Source organism: Homo sapiens, chromosome 1, assembly GCF_000001405.40.
Source record: "Homo sapiens chromosome 1, GRCh38.p14 Primary Assembly".
NCBI lineage: Eukaryota > Metazoa > Chordata > Mammalia > Primates > Hominidae > Homo > Homo sapiens.
This window is the reverse complement of record NC_000001.11, coordinates 10,161,107-10,185,766: the sequence shown is the minus strand read 5'-3', so window position 1 is coordinate 10,185,766 and position 24,660 is coordinate 10,161,107. Positions and strand designations below refer to the sequence as shown.

The window sequence follows — 24,660 nt, the reverse complement described above, 5'->3', positions numbered from 1 at the left end:
TTTTTGAGATGGAGTCTCAGTCTGTCACCCAGGCTGGAGTGTGGTGGCTAGATCATAGCCCCTTGCATTTGCTGGAGCTTCTGCTCCAGCAGCCTTGAATTTCTGGGCTCAGGCGATCCTCCCACCTCGATCTCTGGAAGTGCTGGGACTACAGGCGTGCAACACCACACCTGGCTTTAGGGTTTTTTTTCCAGCCCCTTTCTTTCTTTTTTCTTTTTTTTTTTTTTGAGACGCAATTTTTGCTCTTTTTTTGCCCACGCTGAAGTTCAATGGCACACAATCTCGGGTCACTGCAACCTCTGCCTCCCAGGTTCAAGCAATTCTGCCTCAGCCTCCCAAGTAGCTGGGACTTGTACAGGCACGCATCACCATGCTTGGCTAATTTTGTATTTTTAGTAGAGACTGGGTTTCACCATGTTGACCAGGCTGGTCTCGAACTCCTGACCTCACGTGATCTGCCCATCTCGGCCTCCCAAAGTGTTGGGATTACAGGCGTGAGTCACCGCACCCAGCATCTTTTTCTTGAGATAGGGTCCCCACTTTGTCACCCAGGTTGGAGTACAGTGGTGTAATCTCGGCTCACTGCAGCCTCAACTTCCTGGACTCAAGCAATCCTCCTGCCAAAGCCCCTGAGTAGCTGGGTCCACAGGTGCATGCCACCACGCCTAGCTATAGTTGTTTTTTTTTTGGTTTTTTTTTTTTTTTTTTTTGAGACAGAGTGTCACTCTGTCACCCAGGCTGGAGTACAGTGGCACAATCTTGGCTCACTGCAATCTCCGCCTCCTGGGTTCAAGCGATTCTCTTGCCTCAGCCTTCTGAGTAGCTGGGATTATAGGCGTACACCACCACATCCAGCTGATTTTTGTATTTTTAATAGAGACGGGGTTTCACCATGTTGGCCAGGCTGGTCTCAAACTCTTGACCTCAGGTGATCCGCCCACCTCAGCCTCCCAAAGTGCTGGGATTACAGGTGTGAGCCACCACGCCCAGCCAAAGTTTTAACAAGATCATCCTACCTGCTTTTCTGAGAAAGGAGGTTAAGGGGAGAGGCAGGAGGACCAGTGATGCTGTTGGAATAATCCAGGAGAGAGCCAGCAGCAGCAACTCAAACCAAAGTGACAGGAGGGGACCTGGGGAGTAGTCGTCGAGTTCTGGGATACATTTTGTAGGTAGAACAGAGGGATTTTTTTGTTTGTTTAGACAGAGTCTCACTTTGTAGCCCAGGCTGGAGTACAGTGGCCCGATCTCAGCTCACTGCAACCTCCGCCTCCCGGGTTCAAGTGATTCTTGTGCCTCAGCCTCCCAAGCAGCTGGGATTACAGAAGCCCGCCACCATGCCCAGCTAATTTTTGTATTTTTAGTAGAGACGGGGTTTCACCATGTTGGCCAGGCTGGTCTCGAACTCCTGCCCTCAGGTGATCCACCCACCTTGGTCTCCCAAAGTGCTAGGATTGCAGGCGTGAGCCACTGCACCCAGCTGAGCAGAGAGATTTGTGGACAGATTGGACATAGGAGGAGAGCACAACAGCGGAGTCAAGGATGACTCGAAGGTTTGTGGCCTGAGCGACTTGGAAGGATGGAGTTGTCATTTACTGTGATGAGGAGACTAAGAGGAGCGGGCGTGGGGTGAAATGTACAGAGTTCAGGTTGGGATATGTTAAGTCTGAGGACCTTTTAGTCATCTGAGATGGCCAGTGTGTACAGTACAGGAGAGAAGTGGAGGTTTGAGATATACATCTGGGGTCAACGTGAGTGGCTAGTAACGAATGAAAGCTGTGATATTGAAGTTATCTAATTGTTTAAAATGGGGGTTAGGTCTAGAGCTGATCTCAAGGCCAAAGTCCCTTCCAAAATGCTATGCTGCTTCTCCTTGGGCATTCTGAGCTATTCTGAACTTCTAGCATTCTGGAACTCTGCCATACAGCAGGAGTCGGGAAGAGATGAGGCTGGAAAGGCCAGATGGCCTAGATTCATGTGCCAGTTCCACTACATTATGGTTGTGGAGGGTTAAATTAATTAATATATGTGGCCGGGTGCGGTGGCTCTTGTCTGTAATCCCAGCACTTTGGGAGGCCAAGGCAGGTGGATCACGAGGTCAGGAGATCGAGACCACCCTGGCTAACACGGTGAAACCCTGTCTCTACTAAAAATACAAAAAATTAGCTGGGCATGGTGGCGGACACCTGTAGTCCCAGCTACTCGGGAGGCTGAGGCAGGAGAATGGCGTGAACTTGGGAGGCGGAGCTTGCAGTGAGCCGAGATCGCGCCACTGCACTCCAGCCTGGGCGACAGAGCGAGACTCTGTCTCAAAAAAAAAAAAAAAATTAATACATGTAAGAGTGGCTTGCACATAGAATATGCTCATGAAATGCAAATGATCATCACCAATTCAGAATGACTTTCTTCACCAACACTATCTGACACCAGCATCAAGCTCATAGGCTACTGTGTCTCCTTCAATCAAAAACGTACCTTGAGGCCTGGTGTGGTGGCTCATGCCTGTAATCCCAGCACTTCGGGAGGCTGAGGCAGGTGGATCACTTGAGGTCTGGAGTTCAAGACCAGCCTGGCCAACATGGTGAAACCCCATCTCTACTAAAAAAAAAAAAAAAAAAAAAAAAAAATTAGCTGGACATGGTGGCATGTGCTCTAGTCCCAGCTACTCGGGAGGCTAAGGCAGGAGAATCACTTGAACCTGGAAGGTGGAGGTTGCAATGAGCCAAAATTGCGCCACTGCACTCCAGCCTGGGTGACGGAGCGAGACTCCGTCTGAAAAAAACCAAAAAACAAAAAAAAGTACCTACTCAAATGAGGCCTATTCATGTCACTTTAGCACTCCAATCAAATTGCTGTGAAATTCACTACTCGATGTACCAAACCCAGAGGTTACAAAAAGTGAACGGTGTGCTCAGCTTTTTTTTCAAAAGATATTCAATCAATATCTTTTTAAAATCTACACAACACTGAGTCACAACACAAGGCAGATTTTAATCATCTTTCTCTCAAGGATCATTTCTCTTCTGCCAATCTGATTCTCTTATTTGACAATCTTCCTTTTAGCCAAGACCTACTTTTAATATATTTTGGGATTTATTTCAATATCCACAATTAAGAGACTGCAGACAAACACAAAACAGCAACTCTTGAGACTCTAAAAATGGAAACCCAAATCATCTTCCCCCTATAGATAGTACAGGCAGGAGACTGACTGTGTCTCTGTCCTATCCGGCAGGTCCTTGAAACCTCTGAATTATTCAAAACGACAAGTGCATATGGCGGTATAAAGCAGCATTTTATTACATTCACGGGGACAACTGGAGGATTAAAATAAGAGTTTGGAATCTGGGATGGAGAGGAGACAAGCAGTACACACTGGTCAGATAACCACACAAACAAAATTAGGCAAGATGCCAGTCAGTATCCTAATTCTACAGGCACTAAGCTTAGATATGTAAGTTTAGTAAAAAGTAAACCCAATTAAACAGAATCTTCTGCATGGTGAGAATATGGATTTTTTTTCTTTTTGCTTATATTGCCTAAAATTTTTGCTATCATGAACTTTTTCCTTATTTATTGTGTCTATCTATCTATCTATTTTTTGAGACGAAGTCTCACTCTTGTCCCCTAGGCTGGAGTGCGATGGCGCGATCTCAGCTCACTGCAACCTCCACCTCCTGGGTTCAAGCAATTCTCCTGCCTCGGCCCCCCGAGTAGCTGGGATTATAGGCACCCACCACCACGCCCAGCTAATTTTTGTATTTTCAGTTGAGATGGGGTTTCACCATGTTGGCCAGGCTGGTCTAGAACTCCTGACCTCAGACGATACACCTGCCTTGGCCTCCCAAAGTGCTGGGATTACAGGCGTGAGCCACCGCACCTGGCCATGTTATATATATATATATAAATATATATAAATAAATATATATGTAAATATATATAAATATATATTTTTTCTTTTTTGAGACGGAGTCTCGCTGTCACCCAGGCTGGAGTGTGATGACGTCATCTCGGCTCACTGCAACCTCCACCTCCCAGGTTCAAGCAATTCTCCTGTCTCAGCCTCCCGAGTAGCTGGGACTACAGGCGCTGCCACTACGCCCGGCTAATTTTTTGTATTTTTAGTAGAGATGGGGTTTCACCATGCTGGCCAGGCTGGTCTCGAATTCCTGACGTCAGGTGATCCATCCGCCTCAGCCTCCCAAAGTGCTGGGATTACAGGCGTGAGCCACCGGGCCCGGCCTGAGGAAGAATCTTGAAGGTCAGGGAAGATACTTGAGATAAAGCAGAAGAAACTCAAGAAAGGCAGAAGACTGAATATGACAAAGCTTACCCCCTCAAATCAGCAAACAGTGAAATGAGAACCAAATGTCGAGACTGACATGAATAAGAAAGTTTTCTTTTAAAAATAGCAGCTCCTAATTGGATCCAGGAAAGATCATTCACCACATGCAAACTCACTTGGCTCTTGTTTACCCACCCGCCCTGCCCTTTTTTTTTTTCCACAAAAGAGAAGAGACTCAAAGAAGATTTCTTCTGAACGTGTGTCACCATTTATTGTAGTTTGCGTTAGGAATTGAACAGAGGACATTGTCTGTGGAGGGAAAAAAGGAAAAGAAAAAAGAAAGTATGCTTTTTATAGACTTAATTTCTTCAGAACACTTTATGGTTTCAAATCCTTTTTTTTTTTTTACCCCAAAGGAAATTTGAGAATTCAAGTATGTTAAGTAGGGAGCAGTAATACAAAAAGTCTTATACTTGTGTGCGCGTGTGGCTGTGTTTGTCTGTGTGTGTTGAAACCGGCAGACATACTCCCACATTCTTGCACCCTCTTTTGCTTTGGTAAGGCCAAACACATCACACAAATGACCCTGCCTCAAACTCACACACCCAAGGGTTGAAGAATTGATTTACCCCCAGAGGATAACTGTGAAGGTTTCAAACTGTCACGTAGCATTAAAAAAAAAACCCAACCCTCATCTCCCCAAAATATAAGTCACATAAGTCCTGATACACTTACACCCCTAGATTTTGCTGCAGCTGCTCCTCAGATGCCGAAGAGAGGCTTATCACAAGGACCAGAGCAGCAGGATTTTCTTTATTTTGTTTAGAATAAAAAAATCTTAAAGGGACATTTCAAAAGAAAAAAAAAACTGAAATTCAAATTCTGAAAATATCTTGCCTTTTTTATTAATCATGTCATCTAACACCAATTAAAAAAACAAATATGTGAATATGATATAAAAATACGATCCCAGGATTAACACTTGGTAGCAGGCACAGTTATCTCACAGAATATATGTTTGGAGGGCCAGGGAAAGGAGTTTACTTTTGTTTTTGCTTCTCTTAAAAAAATCCACAGCAGTGCAAGTAGGGTCAGGAAGGGGGAGAGGGGAAAAAAGATTCTTTAGCAGCAAAATGTCCAAGGTTCTCTAATCACAATCAAATCAACGGATATTGGATTAAAAAAAAATTCATGAAGGGATGCTGCCCAGACCCATTAGCCATCACTAAAAGACTTCCGTTGCCCCAAACTGTGACATACGAAGGACATGCTTTATTACACAAGCAACCATAAAACCTGTCCCTTAAGCTTTTGACCGTGTTTGTCACTTAAATATATGTACAGGAAGCGGGCTCCTCTTCTCATCCATGTCCTTTCAGGTCTCAGCGTTTGCTCGCTCTGGGTGGGCCTGGGGTTGGTTTGCCACATTTGGCCTCCAACACATGAACGGCAGCTTCGCTGCGGCCGCTGCTTCTGCTTGCCTCGTTGGCCTTGGCTGTGTCTAGCAGAGGGTGGGCGGCGGAACGGTTTAGTGATCGCTGTTCTGTTTCTCTCTCATCCACGCCTGAATCTGCTCTTTCAGTTCTGGCACTGAGAAAAGAAAAAAAGGAGGATTAATGCCCCAGATGGGAGGGCTCTTCCTGAGAGAGGATGCTTGTCGCTCTGTATAAATGGGAAGAAAAGGCCATTCTTTCCCTCATTGAGCCGAAGACTCCAGAAGGACTGGGACATGAGAGGGAGGGACTGGATGTCTGCAGGGAAAAAGGGCCAAGAGTGTTTTGGGTCTTTGCTACAGAGTGTCATAAAGTAGGTAGTTTCTGCATTTGATAAATTTCCCTTCTGCTTCATCTCCAATATGTGACTTGGGCTTTATCTCTTGGTACTGACGCCAGCGCTGCACCTCAAACTGCACCCTCCTCTACCTGGTTCCAGCATGCTCTCTGTCAGCGTCTGCCGGTTGAAGGGGTCCGTGGGGGAGTTGAGCAGGTGCCGCAGGATGATGGAGCGGTCCATGATGGTGCCAGAGGGCAGCCGCACGGGGTCTGTCATGAGGGTGTCCATCAGAGGGTCTGCGGGGACAAAGCAAAGCAAACTCTAATCTACTGAGAGCCCACGACTGAAAAAGAAAACAAAGCCCGTTCTACCAGCGAAAAATCTATCCAAAGGAACAGCAATCAAAGGGCCCCTGTGAGGCCCCCAGGTTTAGAAGGAAATCAGCCTTCAATAAAGGCATATACATTGCCTTTTGTAAGGGGAAGGCGCTTCTTTGTCAGCTACTGCTGGGGGGAGGGAACAGAGAAGAAAGCCTGGGACAGACCCAGCAGCAGGCCCCACAGGCTCCGTGGCGAGGACGGCAGGCTGGAATTCTTTGTCTTAGGACTTCTGGGAATTCTTTGAAAATGTGAATCCCCACTTGCAAAGGCAGCCCTGCCCTTAGAATCTTCAGGGTTGTTATCTGGCTTTAAGTCAGGCTAAGCTAAGGATGTTTCTTCCTCTCAATTTACAATATGAGCTAAAAATAGGCAAATGTAATTTAAGACAGATTGTCTCAAAAAGCAGCTCTAGCACACCATTAAAAAATTAATTGCACAGGACGTCCTCTTGTAATGTTATCGATTTCCAGTTAACTCAAAAGAAATCAGCATGAAAACGACGAGTCCACTTGCCTCTGAACTCATCAGGAGCGTCGCTGTAGTCGATTTCTGCGCGTGCGTTCTTGGCCACTATCTCCTCCACTTTCTCGGCGAGCAGCTTAAATTTTTCTATTGCTATTGTGGATTTGATCCCTGCCTTCCGCATCTTTGAAATAACTTCTTCAAACAATTCCTTACTGTAGGATCTCTGCAAAGGAGGAATGGCAATGTGAGACGTAAATGTACGTCAGGTGGAAAAAAGCGAGCTGCAGAAAATATCCAAAGTATTATCCATTTGTGGATTTTCCCCCACTAAAAAAGCCCTAAAATTATATATACACTTATATATTTTATATATCCGTCTTTATGCATTTATAGCCTCATAAAAGTATGCACTTTTTATGCTTACAAATGGATAAAGACTGGAATAATATGTGCCAAACTGTACGAGGTCACTCCCTCTGGAGAGGGCTGCAGGACTGAGGCAGACGGGCTTTTTTTTTGAATTTTTACAGCTAGCACGCATTTCTTTTAAAGTTTAAACATTAAAAAGAGAAGGAAATCTAGTCTATTTCAGTCCTTGGGGGGCACTGTGCCCTGGCAGCCTATAAGAAAGAAGAGGTGAAAATTTCAGCTCTCTTCCACAAAGGTAAGCATGGTAAAAACAATCCACTATTGTTCATACTCTAGAGGAGCCTTCTCCTGTTCACTTTCAAGCTTCTTCAAGCTCATTTAGTTCAGCACTAGCACATGTCAGGGGCTCCATGGACGTTAGACCACCCTGGTGAACTGATGAATAGGCCTGGGAACAGACACGATTTATGTCCCCAGGAAGGGAAGTTGTGGAGTGGAGGTCAGGCGCCCACCGTGGACCCAGACAAATCTGAACTTGAATTCTGGCTCTACCACCTACCAGCTGTGCAGTCGTAGGCAAATCTGAACCCTCCTAAGCCCAGGTTCTTTGAGTGTAAAATGGGCAGAGTAACATCTACCTCACAGGTGCCTAATTCATAAAAATCACTGCCATGCCAAACAGTAAAGTATGCTGTAGTTTGTATTTATAGTAAAACATATATGGCAAAAACACTGGCCACTTGCTTAGTGATGATATATATTTGTATTTGTATCACCATCGCAAAACAAGTGGCCAGTGTTTTTGCCATATATGTTTTACTATAAATATATATATATATTTTGAGACAGAGTCTCATTCTGTCACTCAGGCTGGAGTGCAGTGGTGCAATCATGGCTCACTGCAGCCTCAAACTCCTGGGCTCAAGCAATCCTCTCACCTTAGCCACCCAAGTAGCTGGGACTACAGGTGCATGCCACTATGCCCAGTTAATTTTAATTTTAATTTTTGAGACGGAGTCTCGCTTTGTCACCCAGGCTGGAGTGCAGAGGCACGCTCTCGGCTCACTGAAGCCTCCACCTCCTGAGTAGCTGGGATTTCAGGTGTGCGCCACCACGGCTGGCTAATTTTTTTGTATTTTTAGTAGAGACAGGGTTTTGCCATGTTGGCCAGGCTGGTCTCGATCTCCTGACCTCAAGTGATCTGCCCACCTTGGCCTCCCAAAGTGGTGGGATTACAGGCGTGAGCCACTGTGCTCGGCCTAAACCTCTTTTCTTCATAAAGTACCTAGCCTTGGGTATTTCTGTATAGTGATGCAATGGACTAACACAAGAATATCTGCAAATCATATATCCAATGATACATGTATCATCTGATATGACCTAGCATCCAGAATACATAAAGAACTCTTCTGGTTGGGCGCGGTGGCTCACGCCTGTAATCCCAGCACTTTGGGAGGCCAAGGCAGGCAGATCATGAGGTCAGGAGATCGAGACCATCCTGGCTAACATGGTGAAACCCCGTCTCTACTAAAAATACAAAAAAAATTAGCCAGGCGTGATGGTGCACGCCTGTAGTCCCAGCTATTTGGGAGGCTGAGGCAAGAGAATTGCTTGAATCTGGGAGGTGGAGGTTGCAGTAGGCTGAGATCGCACCACTGCACTCCAGCCTGGGCAACAGAGGGAGACTCCATCTCAAAAAAAAAAAAAAAAAAAGAAAAAGAAAAAAAGAACTCTTCCAACTCAACAACAAAAACACAAACAACCCAATTAAAAAATGGGCAAAGAACATGAATAGACATTGCTCCCAAGAAAATATAAAAATGGCCAGCAAGCACATGAAAAGGTGTCCAATGGTATTTGACATTAGGGAAATACAAATCAAAACCGCAATGAAATACCACGTCACTCCCACTAGGATGAGTATTTAAGAAACAAAAACAAATTAACATGTTTAATTTTTAAACTTCATGATGGAAAGAATATAAACTAAACCAAAGAAAAAAAATGAAAAAGAATGGAAACTTAAACCTTATACATTGCCAGTGGGAATGTCAAATGGGCGGCAGCTGTAGAAAACATTCTGGCATCCCTCAAAAAGTTAAACATGGAATTACCACATGACCAACAATCCCACTCCCAAGTGTAGACCCAAAGTAACTGAAAACAGGTGTTTAAATACTTTTACACAAATGTTCATAGCAGCACTATTTGCAAGAGCCAAAGGCTGGAGACAACCCAAATGTCTATCAATGGATGAGGATAAACAAATGGTGGTATATCCATACAATGAAATATTATTCAGCCTTAAAAAGGAATGAAATACTGATACATTCTACAACACAAATGAACCTTGAAACATGATGCTAAGTGAAGGAAGCCAGACATAGAAGGTTACACACTGTATAAGTCCGTTTATATGAAATATCCCGGAGAGGTGAATAGGTAAATCCAAAAATAGGAAAAGAGAGACAGCAGATTTGTGGTTGCCAGGGGCTGGGGCAAGGGGGTCTAGACAGCGACTGCTTTAAGGGTTTTCCTTTTGGGGTGATACATGTAGTGGAACTAGGTAGAGGTGGTGGCTGTGCAACGCTGTGACTGTACTACATGCCACAAAATGGTACACTTTTAAATGGTTACTTCTACGTTATATATTAATCTTACCTCATTAAAGAAGAAAAAAATAACAAGAAAATGAAGCATTACATTTGTGAGACGCAGACTCATATTCTGGTAGGTTAGAGGAGGGAGCAATTACTTAGGAAAGACTGACTGCATGGGGGAAGTGTGACTGATGGGATTTTTATTTTTTTTATTTTCTTTTTTATTTATTTATTTATTTATTTATTTGAGACGGAGTCTCGCTCTGTCGCCCAGGCTGGAGTGCAGTGGCGCGATCTCGGCTCACTGCAAGCTCCACCTCCCAGGTTCACGCCATTCTCCTGCCTCAGCCTCCCGAGTAGCTGGGTCTACGGGCGCCCGCCACCACGCCTGGCTAATTTTTTGTATTTTTAGTAGAGATGGGGTTTCACCGTGTTAGCCAGGACGGTCTCGATCTCCTGACCTTGTGATCCGCCCGCCTTGGCCTCCCAAAGTGCTGGGATTACAGGCGTGAGCCACTGCACCCGGCTATTTTTTTTTATTTTCTAAGTAGGTGCTGAATTTTTTTTCTTTTTTAATGGAAAATGGTGTTAACAGACAATGCTTCATGGACGACAGATATGCAGTCTGTCCATGGAACTGGCGTCTGCCCATAAAGACACAGTCTAGGCCACTTTAACATCTCCCTATCCTGGTCCTCTTGGCTCCCAGGACCAATGTGGTATCCCACTTCTCTGGCATGGAGCTCTGCCCTCAGATTCCTGAGCATCAAGCTCAGTGGCTCTTCACCCAGGCACCTTTCTGTCAGCCTTCTGGACATGGGTCTTCAGCCTACTCTTGGTATAGAGGGAGAGAAGCCTCTCAGTTTCTTTACCTGCAAAGCTGTCATTTTCCTCTTCCTTTGTCTTTCCCGGAAAACAAGACATACCAAACCAAACTAAGACATACCAAAGCAAACTAAGATACTGCTGCTTCCAAAGAAGAAAATGCAATTTTACAACCTCTTCCCCAGTGCTTGCCAACCATCCATCCTTCTGCACTTACCGCCCCCTGCCCCACCAAAGCTCTCTTCTAAAACAATCAAGTAAGCAGGCCCCTAATCAGCTTATGGCCAATATAAATAGAAAATACCCAACAATCAGCACACACACCACACTGTGAAAGGAAGCAAAAACACTTTTTTTTTTTTTTTTTTTTGAGACGGAGTTTCGCTCTTGTTGCCCAAGCTGGAGTGCAATGGCACGATCTCGGCTCACTGCAACCTCCACCTCCCAGGTTCAAGCGATTCTCCTGCCTCAGCCTCCCGAGTAGCTGGGATTACAGGCGCACACCACCATGCCCGGCTAATTTTTTGTATTTTTAGTAGAAACAGGGTTTCACCATGTTAGCCAGGCTGGTCTCAAACTCCTGACCTCAGGTGATCTGCCCGCCTCGGCTCCCCAAAGTGCTGGGATTACAGGTGTGAGCCACCGCACCCAGCCCAATACTTCTTCTTTTTTTTTTTTTTGATATGGAGTCTTGCTCTGTCACCCAGGCTGGAATGCAGCGGTGCGATCTCAGCTCACTGCAACCTCTGCCTCCCGGGTTCAAGCTATTCTCCTGCCTCAGCCTCCGAGTAGCTGGAATTACAGCCGCCTTCCACTGTGCCCGGCTAATTTTTGTATTTTTAGTAGAGATGGGGTTTCATCATCTTGGCCAGGCTGGTCTCGAACTCCTGACCTCATGATCCACCCACCTTGGCCTCCCAAAGTGCTGGGATTACAGGTGTCAGCCACTGCGCCCAGCCCCAACACTTCTTAAAATATGCTTTTCTCTCCATGTGTCACTGGCACATGTGTGTTTGTTTCACCACTCTGGAAGAACAGGACTATTTAGACATTCAAGGAGCCCCGTGTGTCACTGTGCCAGAAACTGCTGTCTACAACCCAAGCCAGGTGCCACCAGAGGCCACCACCATAATCTAAGGCATGACCAGGCAATGCAATGTGTGGTTGGTCACCAAACAAAGGCCGCTCAAAGCATTCCTTTGTCACCCAGTTGCTTTGCATCACCTCACTGGGCGTGCTGTGCCCACCCACACCGAAACCTTCTGTGTGTTACGTTAAGCGCCTGTGATGTGGCAGCCACAGCACAACCACCCTGGAGAGGGCGCACACTAAACAGCTCTTCCAAGTCTCTCTACGGCAACGATGGAAGAGCCCTGGGGCTTTCCACACCGACCTCTGGCTGGGCTGGAGACGCCAGCTACAGTCAGGTGTGGACCCCACCTCAATGGGTAAGTGCTTCCCTTTTCTTTCCCTCACTGCAGGCTATGACTTGCTTTCTGTTTCTAAATCAGTGCAGTATTATATAGTCGGGGGCTAGTAAAGCAGTGTTTGTGTGTGTGTGTGTATATATATATATAATTTTTTTTTTTTTTTGAGACAGTCTTGCTCTGTCGCCCAGGCTGGAGTGCAGTGGCTCGATCTCCGCTCACTGCAAGCTCTGCCTCCTGGGTTCACGCCATTCTCCTGCCTCAGCCTCCCGAGTAGCTGGGACTACAGGCGCCCGCCACCACGCCCGGCTAATTTTTTTGTATTTTTTTTAGTAGAGACGGGGTTTCACCGTGTTAGCCAGGATGGTCGTGATCTCCTGACCTTGTGATCCACCCGCCTCGGCCTCCCAAAGTGCTGGGATTACAGGCATGAGCCACCGCGCTCGGCCAGCAGTATATATTTTAACATCTACAAGTAACTAAAATTTCCTAACCCTCTTACGAGCCACTACTTTGTATGATAAAACTGCTTTAGACACACAGTCATGTGTCGCTCTGAGAAATGTCTTGTTAGGCAATTTCGTTGCTGTGTAAACATCATAGAATTTACTTACACAAACCTAGATGGCGTGGCCTACACCACGTCGAGGCTCTATGGTATAGCCTATTGCTCCTAGGCTACAAAACTGTACAGTGTGGGACTGTACTGAATCCTGTCGGCAGTTGTAACACAATGGTGAGTATTCTAAACACAGAAAAGGTACAGTGAAAATACGGTATTATAATATGATGGGGCCACATGGTCTTTGTGGTCCAGCATCGACAGAAACAGCACATGACTATGTATTTTTTCACTGCAAATCCTTTGTTAAGACCACTTCCCCTGCTACATCAGAAAGCACCTACATATGTGAGTTATAGCTCAATAAAGCTGTCATTAAAAAAAAGTACCTACAATGCTTCTATTGTAATATTACTCCTTTGGATGAGATATGGGTAAAGAACCTTCTAGAATGCCTACTGATGATTAACTTGAGCCATGAATAGTATTTGGATAAGTAGTGTGAACAAAGACAGAGACACAGAGACAAGCATGGTTCTTTGTGGGCATTTTAAGTGGACAGCAGAGAGACTGAGGATATGGGTTCAAGGCCAGGCTGCCTGGACATGGATCATGCCTCTGTCCCACACTAACTCTGTGACCTCGAGCAAGCTATTTAACCTCTCTGTGCCTCTTTCCTCACTTTAAAACAAAGACTTTACAGAACCTACCTCAAAGGATTTTGTGAGGACTAAATGGGTGGAGATACGAAAAGTGGGTGAAATGAGGTGTACAGTTAATAAACATTAGCTGTGAGGACGTTGAAAATGAGGCAGAACGGACCATGGAGGGGGCCAGCCCTTTATGGGATGACTAGAAGATCACGCAGGGACAGCTTAGCCTAAATCGGTGGCTGTGGAAATGAAGCACACACAGACAGATCTGCTCACAGGAGACCCACGGAATAAAGGAGAGGGAAGAATGTAAAGAAAACCACACAAGATTTTTAATCTGGACAACCCCAAAAATAACAGCACTCTAGCAGGAGACTAGGAAAGAAGATTCTGATCCCTTGAGAAACCGGGCTCTTTTCAGAAATGTAATGGATTTGTCAAGAAGGCCCTTAAAAAGATGGGGTAAGAACTCAACTGGAGAGGGCTCAGAGCGCCAAACCTGCTCTTTACTTTTGTTTTTTACTTACTTACTTACTTATTTATTTATTTTGAGACAGAGTCTCACCCTGTTGCCCAGGCTGGAGTGCAGTGGCACAATCTCAGCTCACTGAAACCTCTGCCTCCTGGGTTCAAGCGATTCTCCTGCCTCAGCCTCCCGAGTAGCTGTGATTACAGGCATGCACCACCACACTGAGGTAATTTTTTGTATCTTTAGTAGAGATGGGGTTTCACCATGTTAGCCAGGCTGGTCTCAAACTCCTGACCTCTTGATCTGCCCGCCTCGACCTCCCAAAGTGTTGGGATTACAGGCGTGAGCCACCGTGTTTTTGAGACAGGATCTCACTCTCTCACCCATTCTGGAGTGTGGTGGTGCAATCACGGCTCACTGCAGTCTGGCCTCAAGCAATCCCCCTGCCTTGGCCTCCCAGAATGTTGGGATTACAGGCCTGAGCCACCGCGCCCAGCCCAAATCTGCTCTTCACACTCAAAGGAAAACAACCCACTCATCTTCATTTACACCAGACGAGTTCCCTGGCCACTGTGGTTATTATCTCCAAATCTGCCAGTAAACTCACAGAGAGACCAACTCAACTCACTGACCTGGTCGTCAGCAATGGCTTTCGCGAACCGAGCACAGTCCAGCTGTAAGTAAATATCCGTCAGTTGGTCCAACAGCTTCTTTGGTTCAAAGCCGTATTTCTCAGGGTTTTCAACTTTCAGGTCACGGCACTTGGGGCCACAAAGTTGCTGAAGATTAAAGTTCAGCATTGCAGCCAATCGGGGTCCAAGCTCCTAGGAAATCACAGGATAATAGGACAATTCATGCTGTTGAGACAAGTGAAAAGGACCAAAAACTCCCATTTCAGTGGAGGAACAGGAATTGGTTGGATTAATCTTCAAAGAATCCTTACAGGTGCTGTGTATCATAAGCTGAAGAAAGACAACATTATATTTCAACTTTACTCCCCATTTCTGATCTGATAATTCTAATACTTAATGGAATGTTGCAGGCTGATGAAATATTTATTTATAAATACCAAAAGAAGCCAAACTTTTCTTTACATTTATGCTTTTAATTAAAAAAAGTATCACTCCAAATTCATTGAGAAACAAGTAAAAGAGAGAAAATTATACAAATCTTACCATTATCTGAGCAAAAAAAGTTTTGAGTCAGCTCTTCCAGCCAGTATTTCATAAACTTTTTTCCCCATAAATGTTAAAAGCCCCTGGCAGTTCAGTCTGTGTCATTCTTATGTACTTATCAGATACAAATAACAAAGTAATGCAAGGAAAGAAGATAAAAGTTATGCCTTGAATAGTTTTAAATCTAGTCAATGAGACAGAGTAAACTTAAATGAAACACCTGGAAAATAGTAATAATCTATGCTGTAATCTCACAAGGTGACTCAGTACCCACTACGGTTGGGCATACATGGTTTTAAGCAAACCTGAAACAGGAAGATGTGGCTTAGAGAGCATTAAACACTGGCCATAAAAGGGAGTCACGAAAGCATTCCTTTAAGTCACAAGGTTTTCATGAAATGTAATAACTGGATTTATACAAATTCAACATATACTTAGCTTTTCAAGAATTTGCTTTTGCACAGAGTACTCCTGTATTTCACTGTTGAGAAGCTGTGAAATAAAAGAGTCATAACAGGACAGAGTTGGTCATTCTGTTTGAAGTAGGAGAGATCTGAGCTAGTCAGTAAAGAAGGTGAAAATGCAAACCTTAAAGGTTTGCAAAATGAAATGCCTTTACACTTTGTCTGCAAAGGCCAGATAGTAAATAGTGTAGCAAAGGAAATGAAAACATCACAGCAGGCACAGGCACAGGCTGGGGCCAAAAGAACAGGGCTACAGTGTACAGATGGCTCAGGTCTATGAGCAGGCCTTAAAATAAATTTATTTATTTATTTTTGAGAAGAGTCTTGCTCTGTTACCCAGGTTGGAGTGGCGTGATCTCGGCTCACTGCGACCTCTGCCTTTTGGGTTCAAGTGATTCTCCTGCCACAGCTTCCCAAGTAGCTGGGATTACAGGCATGCACTACCACGCCTGGCTAATTTTTGTATTTTTAGTAGAGACGGGGTTTCGCCATGTTGGCCAGGCTGGTCTGGAACTCCTGACCTCAGGTGATCCACCCTTCTTGGCCTCTCAAAGTGCTGGGATTACAGGCATGAGCCACCGTGCTTGGCCTTATGCCAGGTACTTCTATGTGTGTTTTCGCTTAGTCTTCCCAACAAGTGTACAAAATAGGTGGGTGTTGACCTTGTTACAAAGGAATTAATCAACTATTTACTATCTGGCCTTCACAGAATTCTGCAAACCTTGAAGGGAGGCCAGTGTCTGGCCAGTGAGCTGTTTTGTTTCATGCTCCATGGCCTTGCACTTTGCAAACTTTTAAGGGAGGCCAGTGTCTGAGCTGTTTTGTTTCGTGTTCCATGGCTCTTGCACTGAAATCTGTTTATGAAGAGACATGAGGTGGAAAGTTAAAAGAGTGGAAAAGAGTTGTCCCCAGGCCAGGGAGTGGCAATAGTGCCTCTGCTGATGACAGGAGTCACATAACAGAGAGTCACATAACGAAGGTAAGAGCAAATACAGAAAATCAGGGGAAATATGCAGTAACGTCATATTCCATTGTAAAGTAAACATGTCTCCACATAGGCAAATGGCTACCGAATCTTAGGTCCCCGTCTTGCCTTCCTCACTACCCTTGTCCTGGCCACACCATAAAACTTTTCAACTTTGTGGTGGGGGTGGCTGAAGCAGGGCAGAAATCTTCAGTGATGCTGCTCAGTTTCAATTTTAGAAATAGGAACCAGGTCTTACTAGTTGAGAACAAACATTCTGACTATTTGCAATCCACCATAAACCCTAGTGATGGCCGGCTCCCATTAACCTTTGGCTTCCTGAGTGTAACAAAGGTACAGCTAAGAGAGCCAAAGATTTTACACGGTCTCAATTATTCTACTTAATATCCTTCCATTGTCAACAGCTGTTACCTTATGCTTTTTCTTCTTCTTTTTTTTTTTTTTTTGAGATGGAGTCTCACTCTGTCGCCCAGGCTGGAGTGCAGTGGCACCATCTCGGCTCACTGCCAGCTCTGCCTCCCGGGTTCACGCCATTCTCCTGCCTCAGCCTCCTGAGTAGCTGGGACTACAGGTGCCCACCACCACGCCCAGCTAATTTTTTGTACTTTTAGTAGAGATGGGGTTTCACTGTGTTAGCCAGGATGGTCTCCATCTCCTGACCTCGTGATCTGCCCGCCTTGGGCTCCCAAAGTGCTGGGATTACAGGCGTGAGCCACCGCACCCGGCACCTTATGCTTTTTCTATAAGTAAAATATAGGAATCAATAATGGTAAAAATATGTCATGACATCAACATGAATAATCCAATGTACTGTCTAAGCACAAAGTGCAGTAAGGCATTTGGAAGTGGCTGTAGACTATGTGGTGACATCAGACATCTGCTCTTCAGTCCATCAACAGAGTCTGGTATCAATTAGCATAACTGGGAACAAAATCAGTCACAGAATTTCACTTATTGATGACTGTGATCCTAAAATTTCCAGAACTTCAACAACTGCTAAAGTTATAAGTGAGAGAGTCTGAATGTGGAGTCCAAACCACCAAACAGAGCCCCGGGTTTCTACTCACCGGTCTGAGGAAGGGCTTCTGGACCTGCTTCGTGAGGATGTGGAACATGTCCACGGTTTCGGTGGCCAGGGCGAGGTAAGAGCGGGACACACGCTCATCCTGAGCAAGCTGAGACTGACGAGCCTGCTGCTGATCCTAGGACACATCGAACAGACGCTGAGTAAGGCTCGGTCCTGGTCATCAGCTCAGCAAAGCGCCAAGCACATAACTGGAAAGTGCGTGATAAACCCAACATGCTTAGGGAATGACAGAACCGCCTGCCACATGTCCCAGATAACTGAAGTTTCATCCTTTCAGCATCGGAGCTCTTTGAGACTTCCAGCCAGGTGATGTTGGTGCCTTATTTAACTCTGCTTCCTCAATGATAAAAGAAGTCACCATCTGCCGGGCGTGGTGGCTCACGCGTGTAATCCCAGCACTTTGCGAAGCCAAGGTGGGCGAATCACGAGGTCGAGATCGAGACCACCCTGGCCAACATGGTGAAACCCCGTCGCTACTAAAAATACAAAAATTAGCTGGGGGTGGTGGTGCGTGGCTGTAGTCCCAGCTACTTGGGAGGCTGAGGCAGGAGAACTGCTTGAACCCAGAAGGCTGAGGCTGCAGTGAGCTGAGATCGCGCCACTGTACTCCAGCCTAGTGACAGAGTGAGACTCCGTCTCAAAAAAAAAAAAAAAAAAAAAAGTCACCATCAACTTCTATTCAGGATGAAATAAGATAATGGAACATAGTATCTGACACACATCATGGCACTAAGAAAGGGTAGTTTATTTCCCTTAATAATAACTTTTACTTAGTCATTATTATTATTATTATTATTATTATTATTATTTTTTGAGACGGAGTTTCGCTTGTTGCCCAGGCTGGAGTGCAATGGCGCGATCTCGGCTCACCGGAACCTCCGCCTCCCAGGTTCAAGTGATTCTTCTGCCTCAGCATCCCGAGTAGCTGGGACTACAGGCATGTGTCACCATGCCCGGCTAATTCTGTATTTTTAGTAGAGACGGGGTTTCTCCATGTTGGTCAGGCTGGTCTCGAACTCCTGACGTCAGGTGATCAGCCTGCCTTGGCCTCCCGAAGTGTTGGGATTACAGGCGTAAGCCACCGTGCCCGGCCCTCTATTATTATTGTTATTTTTTTTTGAGATGGAGTCTTCCTCTGTCACCCAGGCTAGAGTGCAGTGGCACAATCTCGGCTCACTGTAACCTCCGCCTCCCAGGTTCAAGTGATTCTCATGTCTCAGCCTCCCAAGTAGCTGGGATTACAGGAGTGGACCACCATGCCCAGCTAATTTTTTTTTTTTGTGTGTGTGTGTGTGTGTGTGTGTGTGTGATTTATTTATTTTTTTTGAGACAGGGTCTCACTCTGTTGCCCAGGCTGGAGTGCAGTGGCGCGATCTTGGCTCACTGCAATCTCTGCCTCCCGGGTTCGAGCCATTCTCCTGCCTCAGCCTCCTGAGTAGCTGGGATTACACGTGCGTGCCACCATGCTTGACTAATTTTTGTATTTTTGGTAAAGATTGGGGTTTCGCCATGTTGGCCAGGCTGGTCTTGAACTCCTGACCTCAGGTGATCCATCCACTTCAACCTCCCAAAGAGCTGGGATTACAGGCGTGAGCCAATGCGCCTGGCCTAATTTTTGTATTTTTAGTAGAGATGGGGTTTCACTATGTTGATCAGGCTGGTCTCAAACTCCTGACCTCAACTGATCTGCCCACCTAGGCCTCCCAAAGTGCTGGGATTACAAGTGTAAGCCACCGTGCTCAGCCAGTCTTCATTATTTTAAAACTATGAGATGCAGTGTGCCACCGTATTGAGGCCTATCGGGTCTGCCTCTCTGCCTCTACAAGTGCCTGTGGACTACTAAGCTTTTAAAATTTTGTCTTTCCAAACTGTGAGGCTGTCACACCACAGAACTGTCAGCACGCTTACCTCTGGCGCACTTTCCTCCTTCAACTCTGCCATGGGCTGGGGAGGAGATAATAAGAGCTGTTTGACTCATGGATACAATCAGGTACTGCACTGCAGGCTCTGAAATGGGTCAAACACAGACCCATCAGGAAAAGCCTCAATTCTTACATCTGTTCAGAGGCCTTTTCTTGTTGGGAAAGGAACACAGCTGGCAGAGCTGAAGCTGGCCGGTGAGTGCCCTCTGGGAAAGTGCTCCAGTCTGTGCTTGATGGAGATTCTGCAGGGATACTGGGGGGCCTGCCGTTCCCTGGTCAAGAATGAGCCTACTGAAAGAAAGGCAGAGCCAGGAAAGACACAAGAACAGCCAGGCGTGAACTACCTAAATGTGTACCTGGGTGTCTCAACAGGCCCTTCTACAGCCTTTGGGCACTGGAGATAGAATAAAAAGGCTCCCAGCTCTCATGCAGCTTAGATTCCGTTAGGGAGGATCTGCTTCATAGAAACAAATACCCAGACAGACACACAGTAAGTCTGACAGTGATGAGGAAAAATGAAGCAGGGTCAGGAGTCAGGGAATGCTATTCTGGAAAGGGTGGTCAGGGAAGGTATCCCTGAGGGAGGGTATATCTGAAGGAGTCGGAAAATCTGAGGGAAGAGCATTCCAGGTAGGGGGAAGAGCAGGTGTAAAGGCCCTCACGTGTCAGTGGAAGGGCCAGGAGGTGAGTCTGGCTGGGGTAGAGTGAGTGGAGAAGAGACTGTCCAAAGCTGAGAGCAGAAACACATTGTGGGGCCAGGTCCTCCTGCGTGCTGTAGGCTGCTCTCACCACAGGATTTGGCTCTGAGTGATAAGGGAAGCCCAAAATGGCTGAGCTGAGTGGTGATGTTGATCAGACTGAGATGTTTAACACCATCCCTGATATGGACATGCTCAAGAGTGGAGGTTGAAGACCAAGCAGTGGGCTACTGCAATAACCCAGGTAAGAGATGCCAACGGTCTGGAGGTGCTGAGAAGAGGTCAGATAATGGATATATTTTAAGACAGAGCTTAGAGGCATTTGCTGAGAGACGCAGAGAAATCAAGAGCAACTCCAAAGCATCGAGCCTGAGCAGCTGGTAGAATGAAGGCGCCATTTACTGAGATTGGGCAGACTCAGGCAGGAGATGTGGACAACATCAAGGGTTCCGTTTTGGACACAGTGAGTTTGAGACACTGATTAGACAAATACTTGGTCTGCAAGTCTGCAGTCAGATCTGAGCCAGGGAGATATATTCTGGAGTCTTTAGAACACAGGTATTTAATGCCTTGGTATACCTGAGCTCACCAAGCAGTGATGTTCACCGGGGGACATCAGGTTATGTGTGGCAGTGTTTCTCGTTGCCTGAAGGCTGGGGGTAGGAGGGTACATCCCTGACATTAAATGGCAGGAAACAGAGATCCTAAATGTCCTGCAATATATGGGATGGTTTCTCATCATGAGTTATTATTATACCAAATTCCACTAGGCTCAAAATTCCAACTAGTGCCCTCGTTGAGAAACACTAACCTAGAGAGCATGAGTGGGAAAGAAATTGAAGCCTAAGGGCTGAGTGCTGGAGCTCACCAAGCTCAGACGTCAGGGAGATGAGCAGGAACAGCCAGGGCAGTGGGAGGTAGAAAGTGACTTCAAAGCCAAATAAAAATTATTTCTGAAATAGCAATTGTGGGAATTATTTGGGCCTTTTTCATCCATTAACACAGGAAAAATCAATATTATTTGTTCAGTTGGCTCATAAACAAATGCTATTAAGTACTGACTATGAATACGAGAATGTGCTATAGACCTGCATTCCAACATCTAAAATATACGCTGGCCAGCCATGGTGGCTCACAACTATAATCCCAGCATTTTGGGAGGCTGAGGTGGGAGGACTGCTTGAGGCCAGGAGGTTGTAGGCTGTAGTGAGCTAAGATCTGTCATTGCACTCCAGCCTGGGTGACAGAGCAAGACTCTTTCTTTCTTTTTTTTTTTCTTTTTTGAGACGGAGTCTCGCTCTGTTGCCCAGGCTGAAATGTGAAATGTAGTGGCATGGTATCAGCTCACTGCAACCTCTGCCTCCTGGGTTCAAGTGATTCTCCCACCTCAGCCTTCCAAATAGCTGGGATTACAGGCACCTGTCACCATGCCTGGCTAAATTTTGTATTTTTAGTAGACACTGGGTTTCACCATGTTGGCCAGGCTGGTCTCAAACTCCTGGCCTCAGGTGATCTGCCGGCCTCGGCCTCCCAAAGTGCTGATATTACAGGCATGAGCCACTGTGCCCGGTCAAGACTCTGTTTCTATTAAAAAATAATAATAAGGCTGGGCATGGTGGCTCATGTCTGTAACCCCCGCACTTTGGGAGGCTGAGGTGGGTGGATTGCTTGAGGCCAGGAGTTCAAGACCAGCCTGGCCAATGTGGCAAAACCCCATCTCTACTAAAAATACAAAAATTAGCCGGACGTGGTGGTGCACGCCTGTAATCCCAGCAGGCATAAATTGAGCCAAGATTGCGCCACTGCACTCCAACCTGGGTGACAGAGTGAGACTCTGTCTCAAAAAATAAAATAAAATAAAATAAAAAATAATTTAATAATAAAAATAGTAAGTAAATAAAATATAAGACCAGCTTGGGAAAACTAGCAAGACTCTCTCTCTTTAATATTTATTTATTTATTTGAGACGGAGTCTCACTCTGTCGCCCAGGCTGGAGTGCAGTGGTGCGATCTTGGCTCACTGCAACCTCCGCCTCCCGGGTTCAAGCAATTATCCTGCCTCAGCCTCTCAAGTAGCTGGGACTACAGCGGCGTGCCACCACACCCAGCTAATTTTTGTATTTTTAGTAGAGACGGGGTTTCACCATGTTGGCCAGGATGTTCTTGATCTCTTGACATTGTGATCCACTCGCCTCGGCCTTCCAAAGTGCTGGGATTACAGGCGTGAGCCACCACCCCTGGCCTAATATTTATTTTTAAAGGATGGAATGCTTTATGAATTTGCATGTCATCCTCGAGCAGGGGCCATGGTAATCTTCTCTGCATTGTTCCAATGTTAGTATACGTGCTGCTGAAGCAAGCATGTGAGACTTTGTCTCTATAAAAAAAATTTTTTTAATTAGCCAAGCGTGGTGGTACATGCTTGTAGATCCAGCTCTTTGGATCTACAAAGGCTGAGGCAGGAGGATCACTTGAGTCCAGGAGGTTGAGGCTGTGGTGTGCTATGATCCTGCCAGTGCACTCCAGCCAAGGCGACAGATCAACACTCTGTCTTTATTTATTAATAATAATAAAAAACAAATAAGTAAATAAAATATAAGCTGGGCATACCAAGCACTGTGAATGGTATAAAGTGGGTGTTACAGAAGTAAGGAGAAAGGTGAGAATTTTCAGCTATGCTGATTGGCGAAGACAAACCTGAGGGAGTATTTGGATAGGACCTTACTCAGAGAATGGGTAGAACTTTAATACATAAGAAGAAAAGCAGGTATAAATGGGAGCTAAACATTGGTACACATGGACGGAGACGGGAATAACAGACACTGGGGACTACAAGGGAGGGGAGTGAGGGAGGAGTGAGGGTTGAAAACTACCTATTAGGTATTATGCTCACTCCCTGGGTGACAGGCTGAATCATAAAGCCTCAGCATCACGGTATACCCATGTAACAAACCTGCACATGTACCCCATCCCCTGAATCTAAAATAAAAGTTGAAATTAAAAAAGAAAAAAAAAAAAAAAAAGTCTGGGCGCGGTGACTCACGCCTGTAGTCCCAGCACTTTGGGAGGCTGAGGCGGATGGATCACCTGAGGTCAGGAGTCCAAGACAGGCCTGGCCAACATGGTGAAACCCCGTCACTACTAAAAATACAAAAATTGTCCGGGTGCAATGGCTCACGCCTGTAATCCCAGCACTTTGGGAGGCCGAGGAAGGCGGATCACAAGGTCAGGAGATCGAGACCATCCTGGCTAACACGGTGAAACCCCATCTCTACTAAAAATACAAAAAATAAGCCAGGCGTAGTGGCAGGTGCCTGTAGTCCCAACTACTTGGGAGGCTGAGGCAGGAGAATCACTTGTACCCAGGAGGCAAAGATTGCAGTGAGCTGAGATCGTGCCACTGCACTCCAGCATGGGTGAAAGAGCAAGACTCCGTCTCAAAAACAAACAAACAAAATACAAAAACTAGCCAGGTGTGGTGGCAGGCGCCTGTAATCCCAGCTATTCAGAAGGCTGAGGCACGAAAATCGCTTCAACCGGAGAAGCGGGGATTGCAGTGAGAAGAGATCGCACCACTGTACTCCTGCGTGGGCGACAAGAGTGAAACTCCGTCTCAAAAAAAAAAAAAAAAGAAAAAGTGAAGAAAAAGCAGTCCCCACTTTGACATGAGAACCCCTTATGGAAATCAGTTCTGATTCTGAGCCTGACAATTCCAAGAACAGAATCAATAAACCTAAGCCAATCTAAGAAGTCACCAGCAACTGTCAAGGGCCTCATAAGCGACCAAGGAAGTATCTCAGTGGCTGCTACGCACGTCAGGAAAGAGCACTGGTACTGGCACGGCACGTGCTTTCCATGGAACCTGGCAAGCCAGGCCTCTTTTCTATTAATAACTGAATATAAAACCCAAGATCAACTGAAAGGGAAAAAACACCCCGCCAGGATCCTGAGTGATTCACACAGTTGCCTAGAGAAGCCCATAGGAACAAATCAAATTCTTGTCCAGCAGACATAATTCTAGAGATTTCTTTCCTAATTATGTTCATGAATATTAATATATTCAGACAATAAAAGCTCATCTCCAAAAAAGCCCTTTAAAATTAAAAAGGCAGAGAAAGTTTTCAGTGTACATTTTCAAAGACTTCTCAACCCATTTCTTAGCTTCAGATAAGGTATTTAAGAATTTTCCTATTCCAATCCTGCAATATGATTTCATGGAAGGAAAATCCCAGCATGTCAGATCGCATATCATCAGACCCACAAATGCAGCCCCAAAGCAGCTCTGCCCGTGTGTGGAGGCAGATGGCCTGCAAAGCTGTCCAAGCCTCTGGACCACGTCCTCACCCGGGGCAACTGGTCCCACTGTTCTTTGTTCTTCATCTCTTCCTGCACTTCATGGATTCGCTTCAGAGACTCCAGACTTTCATCGAGCAAAAACGTCGTGTCGTTTATCAACATGTTTATATAGCGAACAAACTGCTTCCCGGAGCTGGAAAGGCAATTATATTGTACATGGTCATACAT

General features: G+C 45.7%; 1 protein-coding gene and 1 pseudogene across 8 annotated transcripts in view, besides 2 other annotated features; both read right to left on the bottom strand.

The window, feature by feature from the left end:
* Positions 1 to 4,527: 4,527 nt before the first annotated feature.
* UBE4B (ubiquitination factor E4B) overlaps positions 4,528 to 24,660 on the bottom strand; it is a 148,282-nt gene continuing 128,149 nt past the window's right edge. For 6 of the 8 annotated variants that reach the window (NM_001410744.1, NM_001105562.3, NM_006048.5 and 3 more), the window contains 6 exons: positions 24,481 to 24,625; positions 17,497 to 17,631; positions 14,438 to 14,629; positions 6,949 to 7,123; positions 6,205 to 6,351; positions 4,528 to 5,872 (listed from right to left, as the gene is read on the bottom strand). In NM_001410744.1, coding sequence (NP_001397673.1) covers positions 5,811 to 5,872; positions 6,205 to 6,351; positions 6,949 to 7,123; positions 14,438 to 14,629; positions 17,497 to 17,631; positions 24,481 to 24,625 — 856 coding nt within the window. In that variant the 3' untranslated portion in view covers positions 4,528 to 5,810. The other 2 variants (XM_011540490.3, XM_011540489.4) reach the window with 2 other exon arrangements.
* Positions 12,184 to 12,263: an enhancer, noted in NCBI's record as "active region_143". NCBI's record gives its function as "activates an Ori minimal core promoter by ATAC-STARR-seq in GM12878 lymphoblastoid cells {active_cell/tissue: GM12878}" and the evidence as "EXISTENCE:reporter gene assay evidence [ECO:0000049][PMID:35858748]".
* Positions 15,174 to 15,223: an enhancer, noted in NCBI's record as "active region_142". NCBI's record gives its function as "activates an Ori minimal core promoter by ATAC-STARR-seq in GM12878 lymphoblastoid cells {active_cell/tissue: GM12878}" and the evidence as "EXISTENCE:reporter gene assay evidence [ECO:0000049][PMID:35858748]".
* RNU6-828P (RNA, U6 small nuclear 828, pseudogene) lies at positions 22,393 to 22,499 on the bottom strand (annotated as a pseudogene).